The sequence below is a fragment of the Homo sapiens genome, chromosome 3, assembly GCF_000001405.40.
Source record: "Homo sapiens chromosome 3, GRCh38.p14 Primary Assembly".
Classification (NCBI taxonomy): domain Eukaryota; kingdom Metazoa; phylum Chordata; class Mammalia; order Primates; family Hominidae; genus Homo; species Homo sapiens.
In genome coordinates, this window is record NC_000003.12 from 115987940 (window position 1) to 116014465 (window position 26526).

General features: G+C 37.3%; 1 protein-coding gene and 2 long non-coding RNA genes across 8 annotated transcripts in view, besides 1 other annotated feature; 1 reads left to right on the top strand and 2 right to left on the bottom strand.

Moving 5' to 3' along the window:
• Positions 1 to 26526, top strand: part of LOC124906269 (uncharacterized) — a 277601-nt gene that overhangs the window by 196839 nt on the left and 54236 nt on the right. Inside the window, exon 2 of the long non-coding RNA XR_007096010.1 lies at positions 19197 to 19346. This is a non-coding gene — a long non-coding RNA (uncharacterized LOC124906269). The remainder of the gene's footprint in view (positions 1 to 19196; positions 19347 to 26526) is intronic.
• Positions 1 to 26526, bottom strand: part of LSAMP (limbic system associated membrane protein) — a 643114-nt gene that overhangs the window by 185566 nt on the left and 431022 nt on the right. The window lies entirely within an intron of this gene.
• Positions 205 to 19206, bottom strand: LOC124909414 (uncharacterized). The gene is made up of 2 exons (XR_007096014.1): positions 12869 to 19206; positions 205 to 3404 (listed from the first exon to the last, which is right to left on the bottom strand). It is a non-coding gene; the product is annotated as an uncharacterized LOC124909414 (long non-coding RNA).
• Positions 2369 to 3154: an enhancer, noted in NCBI's record as "NANOG hESC enhancer chr3:115709155-115709940 (GRCh37/hg19 assembly coordinates)". NCBI's record gives its function as "activates a minimal SCP1, AML or CMV promoter by ChIP-STARR-seq in naive and primed H9 embryonic stem cells {active_cell/tissue: H9 hESC(naive and primed)}" and the evidence as "EXISTENCE:reporter gene assay evidence [ECO:0000049][PMID:30033119]".

The window sequence follows — 26526 nt, forward strand, 5'->3', positions numbered from 1 at the left end:
TTAGGTACATAAGGACAATTTTATAAACTATATGTAGGTGATTTATATAAAGCTAAATATGTAATGTTTCTCTAATCTTTCTCTGACTGGATGACTTCTTATTCTGCTAATATCTTCATGATCCCATCTCCTCTGCAAAGATGAGAAGACTCATCTCATCTAAAAGCTTTCTAACTACAAGTAAACCAGACAAAGGTAAACTACTCCATTGAGTAACTTCTTTATTTCTTAATGTTTGAGATAACAAAATCACATGCAAATTTTCATTACAATGCTTCAGAACATTATATAAGTGATGTATTTCCATTTTGATCTACTATATTTCACTTAAAATCACATAGTTAACTCTTTTTACATAGTGTTTAATTTGATTTCATGTGCACACAGAAGCAAGCATGCCTAAAAGAGTAGTGCCAAGACAAGAAACACTGTTTCTCAAGCTTGCTTCTGGAACAAAATTTAAATGTTGGATATCAGGGTAGGGAATAGAATGTCTGTAGAATAAAGTGTTTTTTGTTTGTTTGTCTGTTTGTTTGTTTTAAGAGAAATATGAGGTCTCACTGTGTTGCCCAGGCTAGACTCAAAATTCTGGGCTTAAGTGACCCTCCTGCCTCAGCCTCCTGAGTAGCTGGGATTACAGGTACACACCATTGCGACTTAGAGAGTGCCTTGATAATAATTGTGGGTGGATGTAGCATGAACTCTTTAGACTGGACTAATGTTGAAAATTAGCGAACTATAAATTTAAACACATATTTACTTCTTTATATTCTTTTTTGATTTCCTTCATTTTTAATAGCAAAACAACACTTTCAATTATCAACGTGGCTGGTATTTTCTAAGCGTTGTTCTTTCAGTTGAGATAACAATAAAAGTGGTCCAGATGTCATCGCTTATTTTCATCAACATTATCTATTTTGTTCTCTTTCCCATATTGTTATGACAGTCTTAACATATACTTGAAAACAATTAAAACTCTTTCATTCTCGAGGATGTTTTGACTCCCTTTCTCTTGCTATATTCCCTTCTCACCAATAAAACCATAGCGTTTTTCTAAATGAGAGGAGCATAGTGATATCAAACACTGACAATTCATTTCTTAAAGGGCATTCAATTTTCACACTAAATGAGTCGTTCACAGGATGAGAGTATAGTTCAAGTTATGTGGTAAATAGAACTGAAGAAAGTGAAAGCAATTCATAGAAGAGAAGAAAAGAAAAAAAGGAAAAATAGAAAAGTGAATAGCTTACGTCCTGTGTACCATATGAACAGAGAAAATAAATGCTAACCACATTCCTGGTGATTTTCTGTTCCAAGGAAATATCAACCACCACAACTATAATTTGCATTGTACCTCACACCACATTCTTAAAAGGGACTTTTTAAAAGAAGATATTGGTAATTAGAAAAATATTAGTATTCCGTAAATAGTACTTTATTTTTTACTAATAACAAAGCTTGATATTGCAATGAAGCTTGTTAGTGGTCACTACATTAGTATTACATCTAGCTGCTCATTTCCAAAAGTACAATAAAGGCTTCTTTTTTTATTTCTCTTTCCATGTTCTCTTTGCCCATCTGTCAATAATTGAAAAGCACTCTATCAGGAAATGGAATTTGTATGATCTGTCTCCTCTATAGTGCTAAAGAAAAAAATGCTTGACTCTGTGTTAGACTTTCTTGGTCTGGTATATCTTTTTGTCATTAATCCAGGCATGTTTTAGAAGGGTTTTTAGTGGGTGCATTTCCAGGAGGGAACCATTGTCTTTTTGGTAATGTACTTAGTCTCCGGAATTATTGTCCTCAATTCTTAGATGTAGACTAGACTGGGTAGAAATAGCTTATTTCCTAGCCCTCTTTTTTAGCCATTGCTATTATTAATGATAAATGACTTAAATGAGCACATCCAGGCTGAGGACTTGATTTAGAGTGAGTTAGAGTAACTCAGAATAAACCCAAGATGATGTTAGAGGCACCTGACACTTAACAAATGATCAGAAAAGAACAACCCGTGTACATTCAGAGTTATAATATAAGTGGATAGATTGTTGCATAGGATTGGAATTTAAAATCAGAGTTAGGAGCTACAGAGATTTCTGAACTGAGTGTGTTGAGATGACATACAAAAGAGATATGAGTAAAGATCAGGAGAATCTAGTTCTTAACCAGCCTCCACACACAGCTGACTGTGGTTTTAAAAGCATTCCTTCTTTGATTCTTCCTTGAAATGTAATCCAGTCAGTGAGATAGAAATCTCCCTGCACTTGAGTCTTATTTGTCATAATTACGCATCTTTAGGGTTTCATAATGATCAATTTAATCACTTTGCCGTTTAGAGGGCTATAACAGCCAATCATGATAATAGGTTTGGTATTTGGGAGGAACCATTTAACGCCCAAGAGCCCTTATTCTGAGCCTCTTGATGCTACTTCAACTTGACAGGCAGCTTCTGATTAGCACACATTGCAAAATCTTTGGTAAAATGCTCATTTCTTTTAAATAAATTCTGTGACCTAGTAGTAGGCATCTTAGCTTGCATACAAGGTCATGTGTAAGAGAAGTTTCCTCCAAAATGCTTATTTTCTTTCTAGCCATCTATTAAAACAGTCTGAACACACCAATCAGCTTCTGTTTTCTCAGGAATTCCAAATGTAGCTTGGTTCTAAGTGGCTGGTGAAAATGCACCTGAACTTCCCAAACTAGCTCTGTTACTGTCATTGAATGATATCGAAATATTTTTGGACTGTATCTACCTAAAACTCACCATTTTCCTATCATCAACGGCCTTGTCTAATACCTGTCACACTAACATGAAGAGAAACAAAACGAGGTCTTAGGACATTTGTTCTCAATCTTTAGTGAATGTTAAGATCACAGGGAGAGTAGGCTTATTTGAATGTAGATTCCTAGGGCTTATCCTCAGAGGCTTTTATTTGTTGTCTTGGATGGCCCCAGGAAACTCCATTTAACAGGCACCCCAGTGATTTTGATATAAGTAGCCCTGAATCACATTTTGAGAAATATTGTGCAAGGCCAATTACTAGTAGATTGGCTACTATAAAGACATCTCAGCATTTTATCTAAAAACATTAATAAAATGGTTTTCCTTCCCCCGACCCCCGGCTATGCCTCCATTTCTTCTAAACTAGATAATCACTTTAAAAAAGTATTTTGTAAATGAATGTTTGAGTGCATTTACTTCCTTGGAAAAAAAGAAGATAAAAAATACAGAGCTTTTTCATCTGCATAGCATGATTTTAAAACTAAACAGGGATTAGACTTTGGAAAGCTTTGCCAAGATTATAACTCACAGTATAGCAGTTTGAGCATGAGATGTGAACTGAAATATCACCTACAGTATGTAGATTTTACTTCTTTAATTTCCTAATCTTCAGTATCCTCATCTGTAAAATAGGGATAGTCATACATGTCATATAGAACTCAACTTGTATTTAATAAAATTAAATACAATTATATATTATACATACATATACATGTGCATGCCTGTGGACACACACAGCACAAACACATGTATGGCTTAGCAAAATACCTGAGCCAGAGTAATATTTTTATTGTAAATTGATAATTTATAATTGTATAAATTTGTGGGGTACAAAGTGATAATTCATGAACACAAGGTGGAATGATTAAATCAGAGTAATCTTACATAGTCATAGTAATCGAGGGGCTAGAAACAAATGTTAACATCTCCAAATTGTATCTATCTGGGAAAAGAAAATGCGGCTTGTAGCCACTCTGTCTAACCTATTCTTCTTTATAGGTAAAGTAAAAGCAGTAGAAACCCCAAAAAAAGGGAAACTGCCGTTTAAAGACAGGCAGGCTGTTACTATGAAAGCAATGCCACGGACTGCACTGCAGGTTGCTAAATGTGCTGAGGTTATTTGTGCCCAGCAATAAATACTGTTGCAAGCTCCAATGGCAGGAATAAGGCCATGCCATGCCCCAGGGTAAAGGAGAAAGGAAATGATCTGGAACTACCTTCTTTTCCCCACCCATGTTTGCTCTTGCACATGCTACTAGATTTTTTCCCCCTCAATTATCCCAATGTCTTGTTTTGAAAGGGGGCGGGTGGACAGCATGGATGTAGAAACTAAGTTATTTATTGTCTTTGCCTCCAGTATACTTTGAGAAGAAAATGTGCAGCACATACATTTTGTATAAAATATGTTATAAAGTATTTAGCTGAGTAATAATACTTTGGATTGTTATTGCCAGATGAGATGTCCCCAGCCCCCAGCTCCAACTTTACACCAGCATCAGCCTATGTGATACAGATGAGGACCCAGTCAAGATGGCAGTGTAAGCTCTCATTTGCAATGGCAGCAGTAGTTGATGAGGGCCAGAGGAGGGTAAGGGTGTCCAAGTGATGATTCCCATCTCGCTACTCTCCTCCTCCAGGTCAAAAAATCTTTATTTTTAAATTATTTTTTCCTGTGGCTGCTGGTCTTCTTTATAGTTTTGAAGATACATGTTTGGGCTCCTACAAGTGAGTAGGACGATCAAAGACACCCTCCCTCTTCTATTATCGGGGTTAAACCAGCATACAGATTAGATGATACCACTGAGTAGATTTGGTCATTTGAAACCACAGAGTCAAATCTTCTCATAAGATGCAAATAAACATAAAAGTAAGATTCATTACACAAACTTTTTAAATAAAAAGCTTTTCAAAAATGCATTTATTTTGTGTATTGATGGTCTTTCTACTATTGTAGAAGACTATCAGATAATGTCGATACAGTTCATAAAGATGACTAAAGGGTAATAATAGAATATATTTAATAAAAAGTAAATTTATGACAACAATACCATCTAGAGATGGATAATTAAGAAGTTGCATTGATATGACTGCTCATTAATATATCTGCTGCTCTAATTAATGCTGTCAGGGTAACAGTGGTCTCCCTTGGATGCTGGCTGTCTCTTCAGTCACAGGACCTTGAGGGCTTGGGAGAGCCCTCTTTTCTGCTTCTCTTTCTCTCTTTACCTAGCTGATACTGGATGTATGGATGGTGCCAATTTCTCCTGCATTTGTTTTCAGCTTTCTGAAGTTCGATATTGCATAGACATCTGGCTTCAAAGCTATGTATGCCTAAGTAGTTTTTACTCTGTAAGCTAGGAATACATTTATATTTCTCCTACATACTCTACATGGTTAGTATTATTTGTAAGTCAAATGTTTATAAAGCACAGAGATTTTTGGGAGAAGGTGATAAATAAATGCTTGGAAAAAGAAGCAAACAAGAAGCCCCCTAAGTTTTTCTAGTGGCAGTTTGGATATGTTAACAGAAATCTGAGCTCAGTGCCACTGTAAAATCCTACACATCCTCATAACAGTCTTTAAAGTGTTAGAAAAAAATTCATCTAGCATTTCCATTTCTACTGCTGTATTGCCTGTGGTGGCGTATTCATCCTCTCTTTAGTGCATCTAGGAGAAAGAATTTAGTATTCCATAAAGGAATCAATTCCTCAAAATTTCTGACTATATTTTGTATGTTCAGATAATCTTATTAACATTTAATGATTATGTAAACTAAATTCATCTATTCCACTTTTGAAATTTGTTCATAACTTGTCTACTCAGTTTTCTAAGTCATGACATGTTATGTTAATTTGATTATTTTTGTGATATTTTCCTTGTGCTCATAAAGAAACAGACTTTGCTTATTATTATAGACTTGAACATACATATTTTAAACCTTTTGCCCTCAAAATTATGACATCTGCAATAGTGGCTTTTTAAAAAAAATTTTTTTAAGTAAAAAATGTGGTATCTGTATAAAATATACAATGATCAAGTTTTCCCCATCTCATTATATTTTCAATTCCTTTCCTTTCTTATTAGTATGCAATTTTTTATTACTGACAAGTGGATGAATCAAAATGAGAATGTTGATTTATCTCAGCAAACACTTTACACCTGTAGAGAATGGTGCTGTTGGCTCACATCAGTACACTCTTAGAAAAAATGCAGAGATGTCTTCTAGGTTTGAACTTTGTTTGGAAGACTAAAAATTAGTGGTTCAAGTTCTAGAGCTTTTACATGGTGGAAGTTGGGAAAAAGAAACTTTGGTGTTTGTTTGTTTGCTTTTTCTCTACCTTTGTGATTTGAATCTGGCCTTTGGAAATAACCACTGACAACCTGGCATTGCAGCACTGACAACAGCAATGAAGAGAGTGACTTCCTGGATGTCAGTATGGCATCAGCTCTTCAACTCTCCTGCTCTTATTGTTGGCATATTTGGGAAACAATAACCAAATAAAAAAGTCAGCTTCAGGGAAAGAGGGAGGAACCAGGATGAAATTTTATGAGTCTACCACCTGGGGATTTGTGAGGAGTGACTTCTAAAGAGGAGAAAAGAATAGTCAGTCTCACTATAGATATGAAGGGAGCTCTAGTCATTTTAATAAAAACAGTTACTACTCTCAAAAATGCAACTTCATTTGGTAATGCAACCTGAGAAGTGGGTCATATCAGTTATAAAATTATTTAATTATAAAAAGTCATGATCTTTGTGATCCTTTCATGAAGCTTGGTTTCTCTTAATGTGTCTTAGTCTTTGTAACTGATATAGTGTGCTGTTGAATAATCGCTAGGCTAGCCACATTTAACTGCTGAAAGGTAGCCTCATTTCAGCATGGAGTGAGTGATCCCCAAATACTGGTAGTGGAATGTCTTGGGATTTCAATAGATAAAAGAAACAATGTTAATGTAGAGTCATTAAGAGCAAATTTTTAATTTGAGAGCTTTGTTTTATACTAGAATGAAAAATGAAATTTGGCCACAGGTGCCTTCACTTTTCTTTTCGCTTTAATCTGTGGACTCAAAAGAAACTATAGTCAAGTTTAGCAGTTGTCTTTTCATTCTACATGGATAGAGATTTGGTTGATAACAGGCATTTGCATGTGGAGATGCTGGGGTGATAACCTATCACAGAATGGCTTTTTCCTCATCCTTTTCTGAAAGAGATGTGTCAAGTCTGATACAGGTATACGTGAGAATGTAGATGCTGGGCATCGCACAATGCCCATATTTTCAGAGAAAAGTACAAATAAAGATTTGTGTAAAGCATTCCTAGAAGCTTTCCTGTACTTGTGTACCAACCATCTTTAAATCTTGCTGGTCTATCTAAGCTTGTCAACTTTCCATACATAGTATTCACCAAAGGAAGTTTCCATACATTCTTTTTCAAAACAAGGAAAGAAGCCTGTCCTGCCCCAGAGGCCATCCACTTTCTGTGTAATGTCACCATTATTCCTGTCAGTAGCCAGGTAATTAAGGATACACATGATCAATAGGCTTGCCCCTTCCAGAGCTTTGTTATCTTCACCTAAAAGTGCCTGTTCATAGTGAAGGCCAGTACTGATCCCAGACAAGGGGGGCTTTTTCCTCTTGTTTAATTTAGTGCCCTTCCTCTTCCACAGTGTTCAGGATCTAGAATACTGCATGGCACACTGATAGAAGCCACTCAGGGAATATTTGTTGATGATGATGATGATAATTATTCTATATCACAGACCACTAGTGCCTTCTCTGATTAATACCAATTTCTAATGATTGAATTTATGTTTTTGTTGTCAATGAATCAAAAAACTGCATACATTTCAGAGGATGTTCAGAAGACAGTTTTAGGGTTTTTTCCCCCCAATAACCTATTCAATGACCAATGTTTCACTAGACTTAAGGAGGTGGAGAGAAAAATAATAAAATGAGAAGATATATGTTTTAGTTCAATTGACTTTACATGTTAGTAATAGGACAGAAGTATCATTCAATACTAAATTAAGAAAACTCATGTTACATTTGATCCCCAATGACTTATCCCCATGATCAAATTTTCTTGGAAAATTAATGGACATTTATTTGGAGCTGGTGAGGAAACTTGTATATATTAATATTTTCCTGAGTATAACAAGTGATTAGTCTATGGGGACATGTGAATAAACATTAGAGAAAACTTAGCTTGAGATACAATATATTAACAATCAGAACTCTAGATTGAATGGATACCTGAGATTAATTTACTATGATTACCCAACAACTGGTTAAAGAAATACCTTAGAATATATTTTAAATATATACTTTAGAATATATTTAATTTAGAACCTATTTTATAATCCACAAGGAATATGTGAACTGGATTATAATAAAGTTGATTCATAACTGATTAAAATTTTTTCCTAAAGTGTGCTAATTAAAGGATTGATATCAATTTGAGGGACTTAGAAAAGGACATCATAATCAAATTTACTAAGAATAACCAATTAAAATAGCCAAACCATAGAATAGCAGTAATAATAATAACTACACATTGAACATTTACTACATGTTAGGAATAGTTGGATGGTAGAATAGCATCCAGTTAGTGAGTTCTACTTCTGGGCTGACATATGCAGATAATCCCCCCACCATCTTTTATTTCAAGAGAGATCTACAGGGAATTGGGGTTATCCTTGGTCTGTTGTAACAAGAATTTCAAAATCATTGCTTTACAGTATTATGACTTCAGTAATAAAACAAATCTGCTAACATGTAACAGGGATAAATGTAAAGTTTTCCCCTTAAATTAAAAAAAACAAATGATGTAAATTCAAAATGGGAAATACATGGCTCATTAGCTTTGTGTGTGAAATGACTCAATTTTTAGTTGACTATGATCTCACAGACACTGGTATGGATGTGGGGAAAAAAAACAACAATTTTTTTCTAAGTCCATACAAATCTCATTATTTGAGGTTAAATTCATGTAGTTTTTGTTTATCCTTTATTCATTTCTTTATTTATTACTATTTGCTCAGGAAAGGTCATTTCCTCCCCTCCTCTCAGGCTCCCTTCAAGTTATCAAGAAAAATAAACCAGGTCTATTCAACCTCAGGGTAAGGATGGATTGGATCCTGGCCAGAATTGTCTTCCCAACTGGGAGTCGTCCCAATCTCCCACCCACAGAGATAAAACCAAAGACAGTATTGCTGGCCTTTTCCAAGGAGAACAGAAGATAAGCTGACTGGCTGGCAAGATCCACGTACCGACTAGAGTGACCATGTGACTCACTCTCTGTTAGCCATAAGAGTTACTTAGTTGTTATAGAGCCCTGTGGACCTTACATGCCAGTGTGTACAGAAATCACAAAGGATGCTTGTTAAAATGTAGATTCCTGAGATTGTGTTTCAATACATCTGGAATGGGGCTAAGAATGCTACATTTAAATAATATATAGTAGACTTACTTTGTGTTCATTTATATGCTAAGTAATTCAACATATATCTGTGAGCAGTAAATATGCCCTGGTCACCCTTCTATAGTGTAGTAGTATCACTGAGGGTAAAGCGGTGAATAAGATGGACAATGTACATTCCATTGTGGGACTATGAGACTTACATTCTACTGGGAGGCTATGGATAAAAATCTCACAAATAATAAACTTTCAAATAGTGACAGTGCTACAAGGAAATAAAACAGCACAATGGGAAAAGAGTAGCATAAGGGGTGTGTGTGAGCTAAGGTGATCAGAGACAGCTTTCTTTAGGATGCCATGTTTGAACTGAGGCCTTAATGATGAAAAGAATGTGTGTGTATGTGTGTGTGTACATATAGTGGGTTGAGGCACAGGAGGTACAGTACAGAAGGCATAGGAGATACAGCAAGTGCAAAGGCCCTGAGGTTGGAAGGATCTTGGTAAGCTTGGGGAATACAAGGCAGGACTGTGTAGCTAGGGTGGGGTTTCTCAAGAGGGAAACTATTGACATTTTGGGATATATATATATATATATATATATATATATATATATATATACACACACATACATACACACACATATATTTAAATATATACATGCATACATTTAAATATACTAATATATGTATTTTATATATTAGAATATATATTATGTATTTTATATATTAGAATATACAATATACATTATTATATATTCTAATATATAAAATACATATATACATATAATAGCTATACATATAATATTAAAAATATTATATATTATATAATACTTCTATATATCGTGTGTGTGATATGGGGCTTTTCTGTGCATTGTAATTTCAGCAGCATCCTTGGCCTCAACCCACTAGATGCTGGTTTTACCTTCCTGGCTGTGACAATCAAAAAATGTCTCCAGCCATTGACACACGTCTCCTGGGAGGCAAAATCATCCCTAGTTGACAACCACTCAACTAGGACACAGTGAGAGGGGGAGAAAGATAGGAGGGTGGGGTGATAGAGAGTGACCAAATTATGTAGGGCCATAATAATCCCTGGATTTCATTTCAAGAGATTCTGGAAGTCACTGGGGGGTTTTAACTGGGGTAAGGGGTAAATATGATCTGATTTATGTTTTCAAAAAGGCTCTATCATGGCTGGGTAGGGAATAGGGGGTGTGGAAAGTAGAAGAAAGTATACCAGTGGGTGGATTGCTGAATAGTCTAGCAGAGAGATGATGGGATTGAACTGGTGTTTAGCAGCTAGGATAGTGAGAACATGTTGAATTCACAAAGTGTAATGGGAGAAGCCCTGATGGGACTTTCAGTGGTCACTAGACCACACTCAGAAAAACAACATCCTTGACCCTTGCATTGTCCTTGACCCAGAAGTGCTGTCATCACCTGGAAGCTTAGATGTACCATCTCAGGCCCCACCCAGAGATGCTGAATCCGAATCTCATTTTACTAAGATCACCAGGTGACTGATATGCAGGTGAAGTTTGAGACACACAAGTCTAAGCTAAGTTTCTCGTTTTACTTATTAAAAACATAGATGCTTTGAGACGAAGAGTGATCTATATAAGGTCACACAGACAATCAGGAGCAGAGTCAGAACTGGAACCCAGTTCTCCCATCTCCCGCCCGTGTTCCGACAGCCTGCCTGGTAGGATAACATCTATCTCCTCTTAGGGTCCTTACTTAAGAGAGCCAGGAATTATAAGTCTGTCCCTCAATTCTCATAGGATGAGGAAAAGTCACCCTTCAAAAAATAAAAGATTGAAATTCCTCCAGGGAGGAAGAATGAAAGACCCATGGTATCAATTTAAAGCAAAAAGCATTTAAAAACCAATTACCAAGCTGTGTTGCTGCTGCTCATGGGGCTGTCATCCTTTCCCAGCTCAGAGTGTTAATACTGAAAATACAAAACAAATCCCTTGAAAAGCGATGCCAGGATTGGCTTGTGGGCAACGATGATGAGGCTTTGAGATCAGCCTTTGCAAAGAGGGCTGCTCAGCTGCATATTCAGTGACAGGAATCTTCCGAATCACAAGCAGCAGGATTTGCAACTTGAACAATGTTTCTTTTCCCTCCATGGGAAGAGAGATTTTGGAAAGCTGAATATCAGTGTTCCCCTTGTCTTTATCATTCTCCTCTCTGGCTACCCTAGACTTGCTGCTTTGTTATCCCCCAAGGACACGGGCCATTTGTCAAATTCTCTTCTCCTCAAAACCTAAAGCACAAAATAGCTACTGTCCTTTCTGGCAGCTCCTGCAGAGCTAATATGTTGTGCTTATCCTAATATGTGGACCCCGTCATGTCCTAAATTAAAGAGCCTGGTTTGAAGGATGAGCTTCAGGGGAAAGAGGAATAAAACAAAAAGATTCAAATCCCTGAGGCTACCATTCATGGGAAAAGGTACCCATCTCCATCTCTAAACCTTGGACATGTGAAGGAAGCCCTGTTTCCTTAGAATCCTGAAGGTGGTTTGGTAAACCACTTCTGCGAAGGGTTTTTTCCATTACCTGGAATTAGCAGGTTACTGAAGGGCAGATAAACTAATCGCTGTATGAGCACAGTGGTTGGTGGGGAGGGAGGCTGCCTCGGGCTCTCATGGGAAGGAGGAAAAAGCTGAATGCCTTTCCTAGGACTGGGTGTGAAACTGCTCCTCTCAGTTGGAGACTGGCCCCTGCAAGCACACAGCTTCTGCCACTGCACAGCTGTCAGCTGCCATTAGCAGGTTCCTGACAAGAACATGTGGCGTTCCCCAGTCATTCTCCCCAGCAACTCAAACTGGGCAGTGATGCAGGGGTATGTGTGGTGTGTGTGTTTGTGTGTGTGCATGTATCTGTGCACACTGGGAAGAGACAACAAAGAAGAAAGAGAGATTAAACAATGGTTTCTGGACTCAGATAATTACCCAGTATCAAGAGAAGATTCAAGCCAGATTTTCTCTCTTGGTATTAGGGACTTTGGGTAAGTCACTTAATGCCTCTACTCTTTGTTTTCCTGCACCAACTGAGAATAGCAAAAATCTATGATTTATACACTCCTTTGTAAGTGCCAGGCTCTATGCTAGAGCCCACTGTGGAAACCATCTCACTTAATCATCACAACAACCTGACGATACAAGAACTATATATGTATATATATTTGCAGATGAGAAAACTGAGACTTGAGAAGGTTAAGTAAATTTCCCCAGAACCCCTAGATAGGGATGATGGAACCAGAATTCCATGGCAGACTATGTGACTATGAGTCATCATGAATCAGCAGCTGTACCTCCTCAAACGCGGATGGCCACCTCACTGTGTGTTTGAGTGATCAACCAAAGCCATGTGTGGGAAAGCACCTGGTACACTGAGGGCTGCACCAATGTCAGCAACTGCTATTTAAAGAACTCAACATTAGCTTATTCATTCACTGAGTACTTGTTGTGGACCTGGTTCTGTTCTATGAATTATAACACATGGAGAAGGGGAGTGAGGAAAGACGATATTGGCTCTTCCTTCAAGTAACACATGTTATCAGGTGTTGGCAATAAAAATGTTGTATCTGTATGACAGGTTCATAACCCTGAAGTCGAGGACACCCCACATGCTCACCAAATGAGACTAAAGCAAAACACCTGCTTACCTAACCCCTTTTCTAGTAGAGACCACTGATGAGGAGTTCTCATGTCAGCATTCTAAGAGCTGCATTTAAGAGTAACCATGGGACCTCCTTTTATCTCTCATTCTATTTCTGTTGTCATGGTGTTTCAAAGCAAATACCTGAAATGAGTAAATTTTAATTCTGAAACAGTTATGCAGTTTTCCCAAAGTTGTAATTTAACAGGCATAATCAAGGCACTATATCATAGTAAATGATGGTTTATCTGGTGCTCATCACCTAGAAATATTATTACTAGCGGGTGCTTCTGTGCTTCAATGGTACAATGATAATTGATGTTCACAATGATTACCCCGAGGCAGTGCAAGTTCCTAAAGTGCTTTGTGGATCATACAAAAAAAGAAAAGAAAAAAAGGAAAAGAAAAAAACAGAAAAGCTTCCTTTGTCATTTTTTGCATTACAGTTGAACATAATACAATTCTTTGAATATTAGTCACCAGTAATAAAATATGTGCTAACATCACTGATCAGAGCATTTCAATTCCCCATTATACACCATTATGCCAAAAAAAGGAATTCTGTACAGGCATATATTCCGTATCTTTTATTTCCTTCCAGAAAAGCTCAAGCTAATTTTACATAACTGAGTGTCTGCCCATGAAGAACTCTGAGGGGAAACTGCTTGTGTTAGTTTGTTATTGCTATGCAAACTCAGTGGCTTAAAATAATATAAGTTTATTATCTTAGAGTCCTGGAGGTGAGAAGTCCAAAATGGGTCTCACTGGGCTACAGTCCAAATGTCAGCAGAGCTGAGCTCCTTCTGGTGGTTTGAGGGGGAGAATCTGTTTCCTTGTCTTTTCCAGTTTCTGGAAGCTGCCTGCAGTCCTTGGCTGTGGCCGCCTTCTCCATCTTCACACCAGCAGTGTAGTATCTTCAAGTCTCTCTCTCTAACTACAACCCTCACTTCCATCTTCACATTCCCTTGGCACTCTGACCTTCCTGCTTCTCTCTGATAAAGATCTTTGTGATTACATTGGGCCTATCCAAATAATCTAAACTAATTTGTTCATCTTTAGATTTTAACTTAATTACATCTGCAAAGTCCCTTTTGCCATGTAAGGTAGCATATTCACAGGTTTCAGAGGTTCAAATATAGACATCTTTGGGGGGTCATTATTCTGTCTATCACCCTCCTCTTAACGAACTTTTCATCACAATGTTATCCTTTTCTTTCTTTTCTCTTTGACTTTAACTTTTGAAACAATATCATCTTTCTATAGATGATGAGTTAGAGTGATCCTGAAATCAAAATTATAGAATTCCATAAGGTCATGGGAATCAAGCTCACACAGAAGCTCTGCTAATATTTGTCAGATTCTCACCTTGCCCTGGTCCAAACCAGCAGGAGACAGGCTCCCCTGGCAATTGCCCACTCCACTGTGTGTGGCTTACTAACACTTATGCCCTAGAGAGGGCAGTTGCTTAGTCTTCTGTTTCCTAGAGCTTGCATTTAAAGATGAGAAGAACTTGAAGTTAGAGCATAAAAGGAAAAAAAAAGATGAAGAATATTTTCTTGGTGCCAGACACTGGAGAACACACGGGGATATTAGGAAGGAGAAATGCAAAGGCAGAAAGCCAGGCTGAAAGAAGCTTTGGATGCCATCTGACAGGCCTTTTGAATGCGCAGTTTTGGTTGTCTTCCCAGCTGCACCACATACCCCTACATCCCTCTGTACATTGCTGGAGGAGCAGGAAAGCATCCCTTGGAAAAAAAAATCCCAGTGCACTCAGAGAATAAGGGGAAGTCATGATTAAGGTTATGAGAGAGATACTAGCCAAGGGGTAGTGGAGGTTACAGCTGTGTGGACAAAATGTCCAGACAGGAAGAAAGTACATGCAAATGGAACCAAAATGGGCTTCTGTTTCTCAGCTGTAGACAAATGTCCTCTCTGCTAACCTTTTGCCCTCAGCTTACTTTGGCTGCTTGCCTCTGAATTATGTTAAATGTTTCTCTTTTATCTCATATTTGGGTTTTCATAAGCCCTGATATTTGCACAACCATTAGGGTTTAAATAGGATACCTGACACATCTATTATGAGCAATGTTTGAAGGAACAAAATCCATCATTTCAAGACTGGTTAAGAAGAAGTGCTATAACTAAAGTGCTAGGGTGAAGGAAAGATGCAAACATGTTATTGTTAACTGTGATAGTATTTTTTTAATATTTTACTTCAGAAATTTTAATGGAGGAACAATATAGCCACTACCTTTATCAAGAGCTTAGCAGGGCAGGTACCGTGGAAGGTACTTCATGAAGATTATCTCTTTACGGTGTGCAACAGTAATGAGAAAGTTCTATGATAGCATCATTTTGTAGATCCTTATATGACTGAAGGAAGTCACTTTACTGAGGTCCCACAGTTTGCAAATCATATCTAAAGCTCAAATGTAGGTTAGCCTACTTCCTAATTGTATCCTTTTACATTGCGTTACGTATTTCCTCTGTTTATCTAATACCTTTGACTTTATAGATAAACTCAGAGAATTGTGTAGTATAGAAAATCTCTTCTCAGATTATTTGACAATAAAGGCAAGATCTAATTACATTTGATTTCAATATTGCAAGAGTTGGAGCTCCCCACATTTTGCCTTTCAAAAGTCATTTGGGTTTGTTCCACTCAAATCTCATTATTCTCTAATCTTTTTATTCTTTAAAGCAGATTGTAGTAGGTTGAATAGTGGTCCCCCAAAAGATATATACAAGTCCTTACCCCCAGTACCAGTGAATGTGACCTTATTTGGAAAAGGGGCTTTTGCAAAGGTAATTAATTTAAGGATCTTAAGATGAGATCATCCTGGATTAACGCTGAATCCTAAATCCAATGATGTTAATAAGAGAAAGGGAAGGGAGATTTGAGACACACAGATACAAAAACACAGAAGACAAGGCCATGTGAAGACAGAGGCAGAGACTGGAAATAAGCTGCCACATGCTAAGGAAAGTCAGGAGTTACAAGAAGCTAGAAGAAGTAAGGAAAGTTTTCCCACTAGATCCTTCAAAGGGAGTGTGGCCCTGCCAATACCTTGATTTTGGAATTCTGGCCTCCAAAATAGTGAGATAACACCTTTCTGTTGTTTTAAGCCATGCACGTTTGTGATTATTTGTTGTGGCAGCCCTAGCAAACTAATACACAGACGTAGTTAGTTGATGGTGCAGATGTCAAGATAGTTTGGCAAACATTACTGAGAAAAACTGTGTGATTAATGACTGCAACTATGTCTCAGGGATACATTTTTGTAGTTTAGTTTCCTACTGATGCAAACTGAGAAATCATAAAGTGTTATAATATTTATTACTAAAAATCTAAAAGTCCAATTGACGTTCAGGGCTTCAATATAATATTCAGTGTGGTCCCAAATGGTTTCTTTTCTAGTACGGGAACAGAATGAAAACTCATGGTCCCTGTGCTTTGAGGGTAAAAATTCAGGCCAAGGCTAAAGAGTATTTCATTGTAATTGAATATTCATCATTATAGTGATACAAGCAACAAATTTTCACTAAAACTAGTAATAAAAATAATATCAAGTTCATACAAATAATCTAAGCAAATGTATATATGTATACTTACATATATACACATATACATATATACACATATACATATATACACAATTATGCATACATACACTATTATGCATACATACATGAAACCAAATGTGTGTGTGTATATATATGTGTATATATATATATACACACACACACGTAGGTGCATATATATATATACATATATATACATTTGGTTTGATGTCTATATATACATGTATATGCATATATAAACATATATACATAAGCATGTATATACATATATGTATATATGTATGTACTTTTATACCATTTTTATACTATTTCTTGCCCATTTGATTGATTTCTTATGAAAGGTCAATAGGGAAACAAATGAATATGGAATCCCTACTGGTATCTGGTAGATTTTGCTCTTCTGATAAAACCCAGGAATACCCCTTGGCAATTCTCTCTGGACCCAATTCAAGATTTATAGCTGATTGCCTGTAGAGCTCTGGACTTGGGTTCTGAAAATTCATAGAATCACACATGGGTGGCTTCCTAGTAGCTCCTACATACGTGAGAAATTGTCAATGCAGAGTACCTGGGACAAGACTGACATGAAGTAGGGACCCCAATTGACACCAGTAGTTGAAACTAATGTGACTGTTCTAGTGATGGTAGTAATAGTAGCAGTAGTAGTAGTAGTAGCAGTGGGTAGTAATAGCAATAGTAGTAATGGTGGTGATAGATACTATGGTGAGAAAAGATCTGAATATTCATTACGGTTTGTCCAAATCTTATGGAATTCTCTTATATAAGAAAGAAGCCCTAAAGAAAGAGAGCTAACTCCCTGTCTTAGTGTTTCCATGGATATTGAGAATCTCTTCAAACCCAGAAAGGTACCACCTCAGGCAACTGAGATCAATAATAAATTTTCTGGATCTATTGAAATAATTCTTCACCTATCTCCATATGAGGACTGTATTTATGATCAGGTCAGAAGCAAGATTCAGTCCTTACAGACTGGCCATGGTAGCAGCCCTTTATCCCATCCCAGTCCCCAGTCTCACACCCTTACACAGCATGATAGAATAACATTATGGGTTACTCCTGCTGCCAGACATTTCCTTGGCAGAACCACACCTTTGACAGGAAATAGAACTGAGTGAAGATTCACATACATTCTCAAAGGCTTAGCAACATCACACACTAGCCTCAGCAGAGCCCGTGATCCACTCTGACACGCAGCAGCTGAGTCAGCCTGCTGTGGAGAGCTTAGAGTGCTTAATCGTTCCTGGGGGAATTATCTCCTCTAGCAACAATCAGTAACATAACTGCCAATGGTAGAAAGTTATAGCTGCTCACACATGCGTAAAACAAATTTTCCTTTCAGGCTGGCCTTGGTATGTTACAGGAATAACCCAATGGGGGTGTTCTTTGGGTCTCCTTCTAGTTTTCTGGCATTATAGAGAAGACAACCAGGGTTGGCTCTACTGATAGGCCATTCAGACTTTGGGGTGAGGAGCTAGCAATAGGGTGGCAGTACTGGTTCCAGTTGGTCCTTTGGTTATGGCTGCATATTCAGAGTTTAAGAGAGGATTTACCTCTAAGGTATAGCAGTCATAAAGAAACATGATAACAGGGCAATTAAAAATCTGTGACCCCAGAGCTCAAAGAAAGACAGATGAGCCAGAAGTCCTGATGATCAGCATCATGTGAGCAGATATTATATGCTATGTACTGAATTGTGTCCCTCCAAAATTCCTAGGTTGAAGCCCAGATGCCCAATGTGATGGTATTTGGAGATGAGGCTTTTGGGTGATAATTAGGTTAAAATGAGGTCACAAGGCTGAGGCTATTATGGTGGGACTAGTGCTCTTTTAAGAGGGGACACCAGAGAGTTTGCTCACTGTCTCCACACACACGCAGAAGTCATGGGAGGATCTAGGAAAGTGGTGGTCATCGACAAGCCAGAAAGAGCCCTCATCGGAACCTGAGCATGCTGGCACCTCGATCACGGACTTCTAGCCTCCAGAACTGTGAGAAAATACATCCTGCAAATTAAATCCCCCAGTTTATGGTATTTGATTATAGCCCACAGCTGATGGATACAACGTAGTAACTATTTTTTAAAATAAATGGGATTATTTAGTTATATTAAGTAGGTGGGCTTTTAGAAGTCATATATATAGCAGCCATAGTTACCACAACTAATTATGAGAAAATAGAAAATGTTTATCTCTGGTCTCTTCAGGAATCCATCCATCCATCTTCACCTAGATGACTCCAAAAGTAAGCCTGTCTAAATTCCAGAGTTACTCAAATAATCACCCCCTGCCGACTTCTGTGTCCATTATCACAGACATGACCATAAGCAATGGGCAGCTAAGTCCTCAATACTATGTGTTATCATCAGAATGACTTTTGTTCCGAGGTGAAATTCTTGAATATATAATTTGGTGCAATTTGAAGCAATTTTCCTATGTTTTGAAAAATATAAAATGTCTCCTGGATTGTTCTATGAAGACTAAATTTCTGTGACTATTTTCCCATCTGCTTTTCAAGTCTCTCATCCCCTGATCTGGATCTGTCTTCCACAGCCCAAACAGCATAAAGACTCGGCTATCAGGCCAAAAAAATTAAAGAAAAAAAGACTGATGTCATTCAAAGAGTGACATTTTAGTTTTTGTTACTAGAATACCTTAAAGAATTAGATCTGATTTGCATTGATATTTGCCAACTGAATTATTGAAGTTTTTTTTTTCTTTTTCTCTTCCCATCATCAGATTTTAACACTGCAGTCAACTGCAGACAAAGCCGCAATCTTGTGACTTCACAGAGCCTCATGGGCTTTTGAGTTGACCAACTTGAGAAAAATTTCTGACTTGATGCATGAAATGAAACGAAGGCAGGTGACACATAAAGGAAATGACAAGGTATTTTTTTTTTGCCAAGGAGTTTGCTTCTCACAAAGTTTCTTAAGTGACATGGGGTAATTTTATTGGCATGTCTTTTATGGGCAGAAAGACCCCATTTGAATTACCTATTGAGGTTCCTCTTTTTTATTAGAATGAATTGCAGCCTCAGTGTACTGGGAGACTTGCAAATGAATATGCCAAGAGAATGATGAGGATTTCAGAAATGTGTGCACATTTTAAGTGATATGTTAGACTCAAACATCATTAGAATGTAGATAGAAAAAGACAAAGTGGGAATTTCTGTGCAGTTGTTACTTCTAAACCTCTTCATCTAAAGTGACAGAAATTCTAACCAAACAAATGTGATAGTGCATATATATCAAGATATTTTTATAAACACACACACACACACACAGTCACTGAAACATTTCCTGTTGATTTCTTATTATTGCACAGGAAGAATCTCAAATGCTCCTATATTTGTGCTTGGTAGAAACAGTATACAACCTTGACTATCTCAAAAAGAAGTGTTTTCTCTAGTGCAGGGGTTCTGTAAGTTTACTTTGCATCAGAATCACCTGAAGGGCATGTTAAGCTACATTTTTGGGCCCCACACCTAGAGTTTCTGATTCATGTAGGTCTGGTGTGGAGTCTGATAACTTGCATTTCTGACAAGTTTCTAGGTGATGCAGATGCTGCTGGTTTAGGAATTATACTCTAAGAACCAATGTTTTGGACTATCCAGAAACTCTGGTTTTATTAGCAAGCGGAGTGCTTTCCAGTCTTGAAGTTAGTTCTTTCTACTATCTAACCAAAATGATTGTAATTTAAGTCTTTATTGTGTTCTGTGGAACTTAATAACAACAACAAACACTTGAATAATGCTTTTTCATTAATAAATCACTTCCGTATGGATTATTTCACTTTAGGCAAATCAACGTTTATGGTAGGTGAGTAGGCATTCGATTATTCATGTTTTACAGACGGAAAGTAGAGGGTTTAAAGAACTTACTTAAACCCATATAAAAGTAAATTATGGACAGCAGGGCTTTCTGACTCCAAAGTCTGTATTCTTTCTATCAAATCATTCTTCCTCTCAATTCTTTACATTTGTAGAGAGACATACATTTTTCAAACTAGTTTCATATTCATTATCTCATTTGATCCCTGAAAGCAACAGTCTGAAGCAGGCAGGGCACATATTATTGTCTACATTTTGCAGATAAAGCTATTATAAAAGATGATGAGAAAAGTAGCTACTGTCATTCAGACTGCATCTCTTTGTACACTAGGCAACATTTTTCCTCCAACATTTAGTAGCAGCATCTGATGTAGCAGGTACAGCATTAGATGCTGTTCTTTCCAGTGATAAGTATTCAATGACAAAGTATTATAACCCCACCCCCACTCCCCACCAATATTTTTTTTTTTCTCTTTTCATGGTAGAAATGCATTTGAAGGGAAAGGAGGTGGGGATGAACTTTAGTGTTACCAGATTGGTAGGAACGTGGGGAAAGGTCCCTAACTGCTATACTTCGAATACTAAGGACAGCAGCTTTCTCCACCTGTAGTCCAGGGCTTTTCAAAATTTAATGAGCACCTGGGGATCTTGAGGAAATGCAGATTTTCATCCAGTGGGTCAGGGATGGGACCCAATATTCTGCATTTCCTTGTCTCTTCTACCACTTCTTCCAGGAGCAATATTCTGTATTTCCACAGTGATGCCAATTCTGATAGTCAGAGTCCAACCTTGTAGCCAAGGAAAAACCTTATTTCTCAAAACTATTATTATTTTCATTCTCTGAACCACCTCTCAATCTCTAGGCTGAAACAGAAAAATTGAAAATATAAAACATTGTAATAATATTCGGTGAGTACTACACACATTGTGGGACTTACCTAGGTGTTTCTCTGTGCTAGACTGCTTATGTATCCCACAATCTTCCAAACTATTTTGTTCTGAAGATCCTGGATGATGCTCAAACTGTGGCCCATAGAGCAGCAGTGCTCACATTACCTGAGTGCTTGTCAGAAAAGCAGAATTTCAGGCCCCACCCAGACCCACTGAATCAAAATCCACATTTTAATAAGATTCTTCAGATCATTTCCTAGCACCGTCGTAACAGAAGTCCTTCCAATCGTCTTGGCAATCCCCCTGTAATTATAGTGTCATCATTCTGTTCACCTGGCTTATAATATAACTCCCTGAGAGGCTTTACTTCTACAGAATCCTAAAATTCACAAAAGAGATAATTTAAGTGTGAGATTGGCTAAGGAATCTGTATTGTTCAATACCTTTGCTTCTGCTCTGGGTAATTCCGATGATCAGCCAAATTTGTAAATCCAGCGGCCATCTAATATTGGCCACAAAAGTTATGCTACAGGTGGCCACCACCAGAAGGGTTTTATAGTAAATTACAGGAAGTATTATAAAACTTCCAGCTCTTGTAACGGGGGCTCCTTCTTCTGTTTGACTCAACTTATTAACTGTCAGAGTGGGACTGAACCCTTCCCTAACACACCCTCACCCCCACTATAGCACAAGTTTATTGGCGTGATAGTGTTGAGATCCTTGTCACCACATACATAAAGAAAAAAAAAATCCTTTCCCAGATAAGAAATTTGCAATAGACATTTCACAGTGTTTTGTTTTGTTGTTGTTGTTTTGAGATGGAGTCTCACTCTGCCACCCAGGCTGGAGTGCAGTGGTACAATCTTGGCTCACTGGAACCTCCACCTCCCAGGTTTAAGCAATTTTCTTGCCTCAGCCTCCCAAGTAGCTGGGACTATGGGCACACGCCACCACACCGAGCTAATTTTTGTACTTTTAGTAGAGATGGGGTTTCACCATGTTGGCCAGCCTGGTCTCGAACTCCTGACCTCAAGTGATCCACCCACCTTGGCCTCCCAAAGTGCTGGGATTACGGGCATGAGCCACTGTACCCAGCCCAACATTTCACAGTGTTTTCAGGAAAGGAAATGTCCTATATTTTAAAGATGTACATTATATAGTACTGTAAAACTATAGTTTATGAAGACTCTGTTCTTTAAGTGTAAGCTTTAAGCAGGTTGCAACAGAGTCTGACTTTTCCCTGGAATAACTAATTCATTTATTCCTTCAGAAAATATTTATTGAACACTTAGTCTGTGCCAGGCACTACAATGGGAACTAAGGACATGCAGGTGGCTGCTTTCATGAGGAAAATAGACAGTAAAAAAGTAAACAAATGTTTAAAACAATTACTGAGTGTGATAACTGCTGAGAGGAAAAGAACAATTGCTGATAATAAATGGGTGATAAAAGACTATGAAAGGGCTAGCTACAAGAATGTTGAGATTTGGGAGGATTCGCCATAGAACATTGGAAAATGATGCAAGTGGGATGGAAGCAGGTCAGCACATCAGAGTAACTCAAGGCAAGAAGAATCTGAATTGGACCTAGACAGAGAACTTTCCTGAAATGTCCAGAATCTTCTTGGCAATAAATTACTGAAACTATTAGTTGGATAGGCTTAAGTTCTATAATTCTATTGTATCATTTGTAATTTTCTTTCTATTCACTCATGGTTTATTATCAGTGTGTATTTAGTTTATACTTCATGATATAAGTTAGGTTACTTCCCACTAATATTTCTATTTTTTTAGAATGAAATCCTTAATTCAATAACTTGGTTGATTGATTGAACACCTGTAATATGCCAATTAATATCTTGAAAATATGCACATGAATAAGGCATAGTTTATGCTTTTTTTTGAGACAGAGTCTCACTCTGTTGCCCAGGCTGGAGTGCAGTGGCATGATCTCGGCTCACTGCAAGCTCTGCCTCCTGGGTTCATGCCATCCTCTTGCCTCAGCCTCCTGAGTAGCTGGGACCACAGGCGCACGCCACCACACCCAGCTAATTTTTTGATTACAGGTGTGAGCCACTGCACCCGGCCAGTTTTTGCATTTTTATAGATCTTATAAACTAGGGGGAGAATGAATGAGCACATAGTTAAAATGCAGTTTTATTAATTTTACGATGTTCCTTCCTGGAGGAAGTGTCATCTTGAAGGTCTTGCAAGAATAAGTTATACTGGTAAAATGATGGTACGAATGAGATAAGCAGTCATGTATCAAGTAGAAAGCCAGAATTGTGAAGGCCAAAAAGCAAGTGAATAAAGTACACTCTTGAAATATAAAAGGAGTATAATTTCAAGAGTGTTCCAGGGATAGGATGATCACTTGAATTAGGCATTTAATGTCATGTTAAGTAGTTTGAACTTTATTCCAAAAGTGCTGGGAAATAGGAAAATTAAGCAAAAAAAAAAATTAACCTGACCATTTCCATACTTAGAAATAGTAGCAAAGGGTCCAACTGGAAAACTGATGAAAGGCAGGTGAGAGGAAATATTGGCTGAACTACATTGTGACAATGAAAATAAGGAAAGTGAATGAATTAGTAGTTTCCAAGGAAAATACTCAAGATAATGTGTGAAATTAATCATTGCTGGGGCAAAGGAAGAAAAAGAGACCAGGATCATTCTTACCTTTCTGGCTCAGACAATTTTTATTTCCTTCCCTGAACATCTCTTGGAACTTTTCCTCTGGCCCCTTTGCTTCTGACAACCCTGGGTACATATCTTGATTCATGAGACCTGAGATTGTCCCCCTTGGCAAGGATCTAAATCAGACCTACCCTGTCATCTCACGAGGGATATTGGAATAGATAGATCTTAGCTGACATCCATAAACAACATTGGAAAGTCCATTGTGGACAGTCCACAGGAGCTTTACAACCAAATGAGGCTTTTGCCTGTATAGATAAGCCATATCAACACAGTGTGAATCCTTTTGCATCCTGTTTCTTAGTGGCTTGGTTAACTCCCAAATAAATCTACCCGCACTCACTGTGATGAATTTTATTGTGCAAGCATCTGCTCATTTCAACAACTCCATGGTCACTTTGATTTTTAAATATGCTCCTGAAGAAACTATAATGTAGTATTTGTTTATTTGCTTATTTGTTTGCTTGTTTATTTTTCTGTGTAACTCCTCTCTGTTGCTGTTCAATGGCTCACTCTTGAACATTGCAGGTCATTTTTGTGTGTGTGATAGTATAATCATCTCTTGAAACACCAGTTTTGAAAAAAATAACAAGGGTTGTAATTCACCATTATGGGTTCTATATAGCTACAGTTAATAAAATATTTACTGTTATATAACCAGACTGTGGGAAAACTATCTTCTCAGGTGAGAATGGATATATGAATAAGCCATGTCAGAACTTCTCCCTCTAACAAACAAGAGACTGTCGTTGTCATGGCCTTTTAAAAAATAGACCTTAAGCGGGTACATTGGGGTGAAATGTAATATAAGATGTAAAATATTAAGGCTAACTTGGATGTTAGCTTTTTTAAAAATCCCCGTGGTTATTGTGCTGGAATGAAGGATAGACCTGAATAAAGAAGAGCCTGAGGTGGTTTTCAGTCAAATTATTAATCTCACCCAAAATGATCACTATGCAGCTAATACATAGTTAACTATAGTTACAATAAATAATAATAATGATATCAAGAATTGCTAATACTGCACCAAGAACTTTGCCTACGTATTATTTTAATTTTCAGGATAATATATGATACGTATTCTATTTTTAAATGTATTTTAAACATAGACTACTTGGAATGGTGGCAAAAAGTATTTGAAGGAGTGAGATGTTGAGAGATGTGGACTCTGTATTTCTGTTTTACTAGGCCACGTACAAAGTTTCTGATTAAGTTATTGCCTCTCCCCACCCAAGGTTCCACCATGTCTTGGAGCATTGATGTCCAAACTAGTTCCCCAAGAACACATCTAGGCTGATTCACTTCTCTTCAGGCAGAGTGCTCTGGGAATCTGATGACACGTGTGTAGGGTAGGAGTGGGGTTGTAGGGTGATGCTAGGGCATTTGTCCAACACTTGCAAGAATAGCCAGCACGTTAGGTTGTGCAGATCTTCTCAATGACTTAAAGGCTGACCATGTCAGTTACTGTGAGCATCTCCAGGATTTTTAAAGTTTGGGTTGTGGAGGCCAGTAATCATGTGGTTAAATTTTGTAGTCATTTTCTAAATGATCCATTTGTTTCAATAATAAAGTTACTAAAAAAGAATTTGTATTTACTTGATTAGGCCATTATGGAGCCATCTGTATTGGGAAAATATGTTTCAAATCTAAATTTAAGATATTTTATACACACAAACAGCTGTCTATATACCTGCTACTGATATACTGAGACTATACTGGGAAAGTATATAACTTTCTCTGTGAGTGTATGTGTGTATAATGCAGTAGATACACTGTTATTTACTACAGTATATATAGTAGTTTATACATTGGCATATATAATATCAATATACAAGTAAGGCACTGAAAATAAAATATAGCAAACATTTTAAAATTTATTTTTGTGCTTTTGGAAGAAGGAAATGGATATATTAAAAAGTAAAAGAAAAAGTGTGATTAAAAAAGAGATTTAAACGTTCAAAGAAAAGTAGCATAACAAAACCCCTACATCATGATCTCACATACAGACGCTTGCCTGGATTCTTAAATGCATTATCATTCTAGGCCATTATATACATTGTTTTCTATACCTGGGATACTCTTTCTTCCCCTATTTTCTTGGCTAGGTCCTATTCATCCTTGAGGTTTCAGCGTAATACTTCTCAGGTGAGCTTTGCTGGTCTTGCAGATTTTGCTACATGGCCCTGTTTTATGGTCTCATTGAATGCCATAATTTTTCCTCATAATGAATCTAATTATGGGGCTATTCATGCAATTACAGATGTCCTGACTTATGGTGGATTGACTTACAATTTTTTGACTTTATGATGGTGTGAAAGTCATATGCATTTAGCATGTGCACCAATTTAGGATGGGGTTATATCTGGATAAGCCCATCCTAAGTCAAGAGGTGTGTGTATTAGTTTAATGCTTTGCTTTCTTATTGAACTATAAGCTTCATTTGTGCAAGGACCATGTCTGTCTTGCTCTTCCTTGTGTGTTTACAGAGTGAACACTGTAAATAATTCTTGCCAAATGAACAAATTGTGAGATGGAGGTCAAGATTAATCTGAGTATAATTCTGTATTGATGGATGACATATTTTAAAACCAATATATAACTAAGACACTGAAAATAAAACATAAGATTGTTCTTTATCTATTTTCTCCTC